The 10,295-nt window shown below is 38.1% G+C and overlaps 1 annotated feature.

Moving 5' to 3' along the window:
* Positions 2,818 to 3,490: an enhancer, noted in NCBI's record as "OCT4-NANOG hESC enhancer chr20:59087400-59088072 (GRCh37/hg19 assembly coordinates)". NCBI's record gives its function as "activates a minimal SCP1, AML or CMV promoter by ChIP-STARR-seq in naive H9 embryonic stem cells {active_cell/tissue: H9 hESC(naive)}" and the evidence as "EXISTENCE:reporter gene assay evidence [ECO:0000049][PMID:30033119]".

Raw genomic sequence — 10,295 nt, forward strand, 5'->3', positions numbered from 1 at the left:
CTGCCATTTATCCACAGCAGCATCATCTCCCCTGTGTGCCACCATTGTCATACTCCTGTGATCGTGTCTGTGCGGGTCAGCTTCTGCCTCACTGCTCCATCTGTTCACCTCTGCTTTAGTGCACACCTGCCCCCGAGGAATAGCCTCCAGTAGTCCCGACTGAGAGCCTCTTGTGCTTGCTATGTATCTCCCTCCTTGGCAGAATATTCTTGATATAATTATTGTCTTTCAGCCCTAAGGGTTGATGAAAACCCTGTTTTACTTTATCTGTTCTCCTTGTGGCTTTTCAGCCCATTACCCTGCACAGTTCAAGGGCAAAACTACAGGGAATTGTGTTCACCTCTTAATCTCCCTTTTCAAAAGGCTCTTGGCACCTCATTTCCTGGCAGCCCCCATGCTTCAGTTTTTGTCTCCCCAGTTCAAGGAGATGGCAGAAAGTTTCTCTGGCATTTCCCTCTATGGCAGATCATGCTGCCCAGCCTCTGCCCCACCTGTCACCCCAACCCTACACCAGGAACTTGTGGCTCTGCTGGACAGCTTGGAAACCTGTGCTCACAGAAGGCTAGACTTACTCGGAATCCTTGGGATCCTGGCTTCTCTGAATGCACTGGCCACTCAATGCTTTAACGCAGATGCCTCTTGGATTGTTTCTTCCATTTTTCTTTCTTGTTCTCAGTGGTATTGTTATCTGCAACCAGCTACACATTGTAACACAAATCAGAAACCCAGACATGGACATTTTAAACTTTGATAAATGTAATAGTGTTGTTCAATAACCTTCAAAGAGGTGGCCCAGTTCATACAGTATAGGCACCTTAGCTACAATTGTAAAAATCTGATATTTAACTGGAAATACAGTTAATCCTAAGATGAGGAATTGGTACTCTTCCCGCTATGCCTTTGGGCCCATTTATAACATTTAATCTACCATCATGCATAGGAAATGCACTTGCAGGCCACATCAAAGGAACACAAATAAGCCTTTGATTGTTTACTAGAAGCTGGCCATATAAAGACAGGTGGCCTGACCATCTTCGTGATTTCAAATCTGCTGCAAACTCTGTTAATGACATTTGTCTCCTGGCTTCCTTTGAAGCATGATTCCTGGCCTTAGCTGGGAAATACGACCTAAAGGCTTACACACAGGGCAGCTTGGGAAGCCTGGCTTCAGAGGGAAGCTGCGGCTGCTTGAACAAGTTCAGGTCAGGCAAGAAAGGTCTCTGATTCTTTTTTGAGGGGTGGGTTGGGGAGTGACTTGGTGCGAGAGGGTTAATCAGTTGAAATTAAAGGAATCTGTTAATGCGTAAGTAAGCAACCTGCCCGTAGAATTCAGTAAGTGGAAAGAAGCTTGTTTTAGAGGCAGATGCTTGATTGGGGCTCGGTCCCTAACCAACTGCTCCACATCAAAAGGACGATGAATATGCCCACTGTCAACTTCTCCTGGTGGCTCTATGCTACACACCAGGGCAGTCTACTTGTGTCTGCATTGGCTTTTAGCACAGAAGTTTACAAAGGATGAATAAAGCTAGAAAGAAGCCTCTGGAGTTGGTGAAAGATTATCTACAATGAAACAGAAATAAAAAATCTCCTGGGCAACTCATTGTAATCCAGCTGGATCCTTCCCTCCTATCCCTTCTAAAAGGATATATTCTCTTGGCTTCCATTTCTGTGCCAATATTCCTCCCAACCTTTGGGGAATTGTTTGGGCTTGACACATAGCAACACTTAGAAGTACATTTCAGAACCCTTATTCAGTTTTGTGTGGGAAGAATTTGACTCAAGGGATAAACTGGCTCAGGTGTGTCCATCTGCATAGAAACCTCCACTTGATTGTAAGCCTCTTCCAAGATTTAGAAAGGCTAGAAGCAAATAATTTTTACACAGCACAAACTTTTAAGAGATTAATTTTAAAATTTATTTTTCCTCCACCTTGTTTGGATAAGAGTTTCCTTTTTTAAAAAGATTTTTAAAACAAAGGTGCTTCATGTGTGCGAACATGATCCATTGTTTCCTCTTTCTTCAAGAATGAATTTTGGACTCTTACCACATTAGAGATAACAAAGGCCTTGGGAAAGTGTTGAAAATCATTGTCCATTTATAAATTGATGCCCTTAGGACATCACATCTTGCTTTCCATCAAACACACCAAGCGCTCAAGCCCAACAGAGATTATAGATTCATGCAAAAAAAAGAAAAAAGGAAGAAGAAATAAACTGATGCCTTTTGTCCTTTCTTTTCTAAGACATGTCAGAAAGCAGGATATCTAGTCTTCGAAAAGCACTCAGGAAGTCATCCTTGCTGTCCTTGATACTTTCGTCTTTTCACTGTGCCCTGATACCCAGTTTACCAACACGTCCTATCAATTTTACCTCCAAACTTAGTTCCACTCCATTTAATCCATCCTTACCTTTCATACCATACCATTGTCTTTGACCTAGATATTTAAGGACTTCTTAATAGATCTCTCCAAATTAGAATGGATTCCACCCCCAATCTGGAACCAGAGTAATTTTCTTTAAGTATTTTTACTTTGAATTCTCACTTCAATGTCTTCCCGTTGGTTTCCCATTACCTTTAAGAGATGGTGTCCAGTCCTCGAACCAGTCTATATGGCTCTGTTTGACCTGGCTTTTGCCTGTCTTTCTACCCTGAGGGTCTCAACCATCTTCGCTAATGAGGAACAACTAGAGAGCTTTTTTCTTCCCCCCAAGAAGGAGCTTTTGATTTAGCTAACTAGAATAGGGCCTGCACATAGATAACGTTTTCAAAGCGATCCATGTGATTTTCACATGCAGTAAAAGTGGAGAACTGCAGATCTGTCCTCATTTCCTCATTTCTCAGCATCTTTTCCATTGCTTGCTCTGCTCCAGGCATGCCAGCCTTTGAGATTTTCAAGTATGTCGTGGTTTGATTTTTTTTTAATTGTTTCTTCAGCTTAGGATAATTTTCTTCCCTCTTTTAACCTGACCAATTTCCAATGACTCTTTAAGTCTCATTTTAAACGACGCATATTCCTGGAAACTTTCACAATACTGCTCACTTTTTCATGGCAGTTAGCATAATTGGAATTCTAAGAATTTGAAAGATTATCTGTGAATAGTTGATTCTCTGCATGAGTCATCTTCATGAGTATGTGTCTGTTGTTTTCTGCCATATCCTCAATGCCCAGCGGCCAGCCCACAGTCGGCCCTGACAACCCTGGGGTGTTGAACAATGCCCTCTTTTCTTCCCTGTCTCCTGCTGTCCTTCCATCATTCAGTATTTATGGAGCAGGCAGAGTACTGTGGGACATGGCTGCTTATCTCACCCAGAATCATTAAGGCCATTTCTAGCTCTTCTTCTGCTCGCTGAGAGCATGGATTAATGGGCTGACATTGCTCAAGTGTTTGAAAGGTAATGAGGCTTCTAGGCTCCTAATCAGTTTGCCTCTGCTAAAATGGAGACTATCAGGATTTTAGTTTCTTTTGGCCATTATCTTCACATTATGGCTGGTTTCTTCCCCTCAGCATTATTTTGTGTTATTCGGGTTTATAGAATTATTATTTACATGCAATAAAATCCACCAATTTTAATCTACAATTTGTTGAGTTCTGACAAATGAATGCAGCCAGGTAACCATCACCATGCTTATGACAGGGAACATGCTATCACCTCGAGACATCCCCTGTTCCCTTTGCAGTCAATGCCCCACTCAACACCCTGCCCCCTGGCAAAGATCTACTCATGCTATCACCTCAAGGCATCCCCTCTTCCCTTTCCAGTCAATGCCCCGCTCGACACCCTGCCCCCTGGCAAAGATCTGCTTTCATCACTATAATTATGCTTTTTCCTAGAATTCCATATGAATGAAATCAAGCAGCATGTCATTCTTTTTTTTTTTTTGGCCTGGCTTCTTTCACTTAATGTATTTTTCAGCTCCATGCAGGATGTATCAGTAGTTCAGTTTATTTTGGTTGCTAATACTTGATAGTTTACTGATTCACTCACTGATGGATGGGCATTTATGCTATTTTTAATTTGGGGCTATATAAATTTTTACAAATATTTGCCTACAACACTGTGAGTACATATATGTTAACATTTTGCTTGAATAAATAACTGGGCATATAATTGCTGAGTCTTATGGTAGGTGATTGTTTATAAGAAGCAGTCAAAGCATTTTCCAAAGTAGTTAGTTCTACCATTTTCACCAACAATGTATGAAAATTCTAGTTTTTCTATCTGCTTGCCAACACTTTTTGTTTTGGTCATTCTGGTGGGTGTGGGGTGATACGTAACTGTGATTTTAATTTGCATTTCCTTAATGACTAACCACATTGCATTTTGCCATATGCATATTAGCCACCCATATATTTTCTTTGGTGAGCCGTATGGTCAAGTCTTGGCTCATTTTTTAAAAATGCATTATCTAATTAATGGATATTAAGAATTCTTTATATATTCTGGACATCTTTTATTAGATAAATATTTTTCAATTTTTTTCTAGTTTCTGATTTGCCTTTGGATTTTCATTATGATGGCTTTTAAAGAATAGAAATTTTAAATATTGTTTAGGTAATTTACAGATTCAATGCCATCCCCATCAAGCTACCAACGCCTGCCTTCACAGAATTGGAAAAAACTACTCTAAAGTTCATATGGAATCAAAAAAGAGCCCGCATCGCCAAATCAATCCTAAGCCGAAAGAACAAAGCTGGAGGCATCACACTACCTGACTTCAAACTATACTACAAGGCTACAGTAACCAAAACAGCATGGTACTGGTACAAAAACAGAGACATAGATCAATGGAACAGAACAGAGCCCTCAGAAATAATGCTGCATATCTACAACTATCTGATCTTTGACAAACCTGAGAAAAACAAGCAATGAGGAAAGGATTCCCTATTTAATAAATGTGCTGGGAAAACTGGCTAGCCATATGTAGAAAGCTGAAACTGGATCTGTTCCTTAAACCTTATACAAAAATCAATTCAAGATGGATTAAAGACTTATACGTTAGACCTAAAACCATAAAAACCCTAGAAGAAAACCTAGGCATTACCATTCAGGACATAGGCATGGGCAAGGACTTCATGTCTAAAACACCAAAAGCAATGGCAACAAAAGACAAAATTGACAAATGGGATCTAATTAAACTAAAGAGCTTCTGCACAGCAAAAGAAACTACCACCAGAGTGAACAGGCAACCTACAAAATGGGAGAAAATTTTCGCAACCTACTCTTCTGACAAAGGGCTAATATCCAGAATCTACAATGAACTCCAACAAATTTACAAGAAAAAAACAAACAACCCCATCAAAAAGTGGGCGAAGGACATGAACAGACAACTCTCAAAAGAAGACATTTATGCAGCCAAGAAACACAGGAAAAAATGCTCATCATCACTGGCCATCAGAGAAATGCAAATCAAAACCACAATGAGATACCATCTCACACCAGTTAGAATGGCAATCATTAAAAAGTCAGGAAACAACAGGTGCTGGAGAGGATGTGGAGAAATAGGAACACTTTTACACATTGGTGGGACTGTCAACTAGTTCAACCATTGTGGAAGTCAGTGTGGCGATTCCTCAGGGATCTAGAACTGGAAATACCATTTGACCCAGCCATCCCATTACTGGGTATATACCCAAAGGACTATAAATCATGCTTCTATAAAGACACATGCACACGTATGTTTATTGCAGCATTATTCACAATAGCAAAGACTTGGAACCAACCCAAATGTCCAACAATGATAGACTGGATTAAGAAAATGTGGCACATATACACCATGGAATACTATGCAGCCATAAAAAATGATGAGTTCATGTCCTTTGTAGGGACATGGATGAAATTGGAAAACATCATTCTCAGTAAACTATTGCAAGAACAGAAAACCAAACACTGCATATTCTCACTCATAGGTGGGAATTGAACAATGAGTTCACATGGACACAGGAAGGGGAATATCACACTCTGGGGACTGTGGTGGGGTGGGGGGAGGGGGGAGGGATAGCATTGGGAGATATACCTAATGCTAGATGACGAGTTAGTGGGTGCAGCGCACCAGCATGGCACATGTATACATATGTAACTAACCTGCACAATGTGCACATGTACCCTAAAACTTAAAGTATAATTAAAAAAAAATTTATCAAATATCTCTATTATAATTTGTGATTTTTAGAGTCCAATTGACAAAATCTTTGTATAAGCCTGGGTAAGCACAATTATCTTCATGTTTTTATCTAAAATATTATAGTTTTAGCTCATATATTTTGATCTGTAATCTATGTTAATTTCTGTATATAGTGGAGGTCAAGATTGAGGTTCATTTTCACCCTCATGGATTTCTAATTGTTCCAGGACTATTTGTGGGAAAGATTTCATCAATTTTACATTTCATTTTTTCTTCTTTGCCTTCTTTTGTATGAATTAGTTATTATTCTTGTGATTCAATTTTATTGTCTATCTTGGTACTAAACCTTCTTTTTTAGTGTTTTCTCCAGGATTTATATTACATGTTTATTTATATATGTACTATAATGTAGTACATATTTACCACATATACCATAATATATGTACTATGTGTATTATATGTATAGTACATATTAAGCACATATACCATAATATATACATATATTATGAACATAATACATATGTGCATATATTTGTACATATGTATTATGTTCATAATATATGTATATATTATGGTATATGGTAATGGTATGGTATATGGTATATGGCAATATGGTGTGTGGTAATACATATGTACAAATATATGTACATATGTATTATGTTCATAATATATGTATATATTATGTATATATATACATACATACTATTATGTATGTTACACACATACATAATATATGTACATATGTACTATACCGTAATATAGTACATATTTACCATAGTCCATTTTCAAATATTATTTTATATCTATGATAATGACATTACAATGATGTACTTCCAGATCTACCCTCTCAGCCTTTATGCATTGTTGTCACATTATTTTTACAAATGTTATAAACCGTAGATTACATTGATATTATTTTTGTGTTAAATACTTACCTTTAAAAGGTAAGAATCCTATGTCTTCAAAAATCAGTTGTATTTCCATGAATGCTGACTGAGCAAAAAATCTTTGCATTAAAACGTGAGTTAGGTTGAATAGACAGATAGGTAGATATAGATATGTACATACATACATATGTGTATATAAACCCTTGCATATATATGTATATATTTGTATGTATGTGTATAGACATTTATTACTGACTTACACTCTGGTTTACTAGGCATAACTTATAAAATAAGTAATTAATATGTGTAATACATTGGTTATACACAGATGAAAATATCCCCAAAACACATAAAATTATATTTAAAATATTAAAATGTTCTAAAAAGGTACTTCTTAATTTCTAAAAAAGAACTCCTTTTTCTGGTACTCTAAAAAACAGTTATTAATATCGACTATATCAAGTATCTTTCACTTCAATATTTATTTTTTCTTTGACTAGGTTTATGGAAATCAGCTGGGGATTTTTTTTTAAGCAAAGTTTTACGATTAACTCCGCCTTTTTTCGCCTAAATAATACATCTGGCTTCCAGATTTCCAACTTCTTATTCCTACAAGTCACCTAGTCATTAACTGAAACATTAAATTGGTCAACAGTACCAAATAAATACAATATTATTTATTTTTGTTAGACCTACAAAATATTTAAAAGGCTAATACAATAATAAAATAAATAAACTTGAATTTTGACTGTAAAACTAATAGAGCATGAAACACAGTATCTTTAATTTGGAAATATAATTCTCAGGGCAAAAGCAATTCTTCAGGAAAGTGAGGAAAACATTGCTCAGAATCTGCCTTCTGTAAATAGTCCAGGCGGAGGAATGAGCCGGTTGTATTAAAGTTTCTCCATTCGAAGCAGGTAGCCCTTATCAGCCATTTTAAATCCATAGAATAAATGGAGTTGGGTCTGCCAACTTATTTTCTGTCCTGGAAGCAACTATCACATCCCAGTGGTTACTGGTTCTGACTGGCAATGCATGTTAAATGTAGTGATTAATTAACATTTTAAAACCGATGTGTACTCTCACTTTCTTAGAAACTTCATCTAAAAAGCCTGACTTTGCACAGCGGAAAGCAAAAATCATCATTAAAATAACCAAGGCTGCTCGTAGACAGAAATGTTCTCATCCCGGAAGCTTTTCCCCACCCAGATACACTGCAAGTCTGTGTGATCACAATAAGTAGACATTTCTCCCCCAGGCCTCAGACTCCCTTACCTACGCTTCTGTTTTGGTGGGGCTGGGGTTGAATCTGATTATCTGAATGATGAATGGAGGTTCCAAGTTATCCTCATGAGTAGTTTGGAATTGGTGTTTTAGGGACTTGCTCTTACATGGGCAGGAACCACATCAAGATTTCACTTGCGTCCTGAAATGTACAAATAAGCAATACCAAGAAAGAGTCTTTGCTGCTCAGTCAGCAGTCAGTAAAACCACAACTCTTGGGTTGGGGATTTTCTGGATTAGAAGGTATTTCTCACTAGACCAAAGACTGCATTTATTGGGCAAAACAGTTTTTATTTTAGCTCTGGTCCTGGCTGAATGCACTGGTCACTCCACTTGGACATACTTTGATTCCCTGAAAGCAACTCATTCTCCCTGGTAAACACGATGCTTGTGCAAGTTCACAGCTCCTTAATGGTCAATCTGTTTATGTTATGGGATAAGCAAATCTGAAAACACAACAGTGGTCACTAAGGGCCTGCAAGAGTCCCTAGACATATGGTATCTGCTCACTGGAAATGTCCTCTTGGAAAGAGAGAGAGAAAGAGGTGAATGCTGTCATGGTAATAATGCATTTTTTACCAAACATTTTGCAGTAGTGGAATATTTTGACTGCTTTGGAGTTTAGCCACCTTCTTTAGAGAAATGCACAATGCAGAACAGGTGAAGAAACATTTTCATCCATTATAGGGGTTGCAAGAAATAGAGTCAAAATTCAGTCTGCATTCAGAAAAAGAAGTAAAAATTTTGCCAAGATTAATTGCTGGAGACAAGATACGCTGTTAATAAAAGTGCTGTAAATGAAGATTATCAGAGTATCAGTTTCCTACTCTGCTTTAGAACTTAGCCCAAGGACACAAGCAGACTCCTAAAAATGAGTTTTAATAACTTTCTTTTTTGCTTGTGTTAGTCTGTAGGCAAAATTTTGTAGTTTTAATAATAATCTCTGACAGTAATAAGTTCCTCTAGTGTTTATACCTCCCTAACAATACATGGCTATAATTACTGTAGCAGGAAATTTAATAAGTCTCAGAAAGTGGAATAAATATGATGTTGTGTTTTCTGAAAAATATTAATCCCCCTCTCTTTGTGTTTTCGTTATTTGAGATTTTTGATCAGGAATACTGTCTCCAGTGCCCCTTTGCCTGGCGAGGAGTGAGGTGCATGGGCAGAGATGTGGTAGTACATCTTCACCACTGAAGACATTTCCTTTCTACTTTATTCCCTCTTTTAATGAAGGATTGCTCACCATTCTCACATAATTCAGCGTCTCCCCAGATATTATCAGGCTAATTGTGAAATGCCTCACATCTCTATATTGGGTTAAAAAATGCATTACTTAGATTAATTTTGCCTGCTTCTTAGTCACTTATAAAAGCTAAAGCCCCGCAGTCATCATCGCCCCCTTCTCCTCCGCAGATCATCCGTTGTGTACCAATCCTCAGGCATGGCTTTCCCATCTTCCCCACCTCACTGGCATCTGTTCTCAAACCCTTTTACTGACTTCTTCTCCATCCAACTTGTAAATCTTGTAAATCACTGAATCAGGGGCAAAATTTCCCCCAGGAGACACGTGGCAAGTCCTGGGACATTTTTGTGTTTGCTGTCACATTTCAGAATGGGGTGGAGAGGAACTCCTGGCATCTAATCGTGGAGGTCAGGGATGGTGTAGAGCGTCTTGCAATGCAAAGGACAGCTCTCATCACAAAGAAATATCCACCCAAATATCAGTCGCGCCACGGCTGAGAAATCATGCTGTAAATGTTGAACTCTCCCAGAGCTCTATTCCAAGTCTTCCCCTACCTGTACATTCTTCTACACTATTTCCAGTCTCCTGCTTTATGTATCACTCACTCGTGGGTGACTCCCAAATATGTCTCCAGCCTTGGTCTCTCACAGATCACTGGATTCCATATCCAACTCTATTCTTGTTATCTCCCTTTGTGTGTCCATTAGGGACTTCAAACTTACAGTGACCAAAATAGATTCCTTAACTTTGA

Source organism: Homo sapiens, chromosome 20, assembly GCF_000001405.40.
Source record: "Homo sapiens chromosome 20, GRCh38.p14 Primary Assembly".
NCBI lineage: Eukaryota > Metazoa > Chordata > Mammalia > Primates > Hominidae > Homo > Homo sapiens.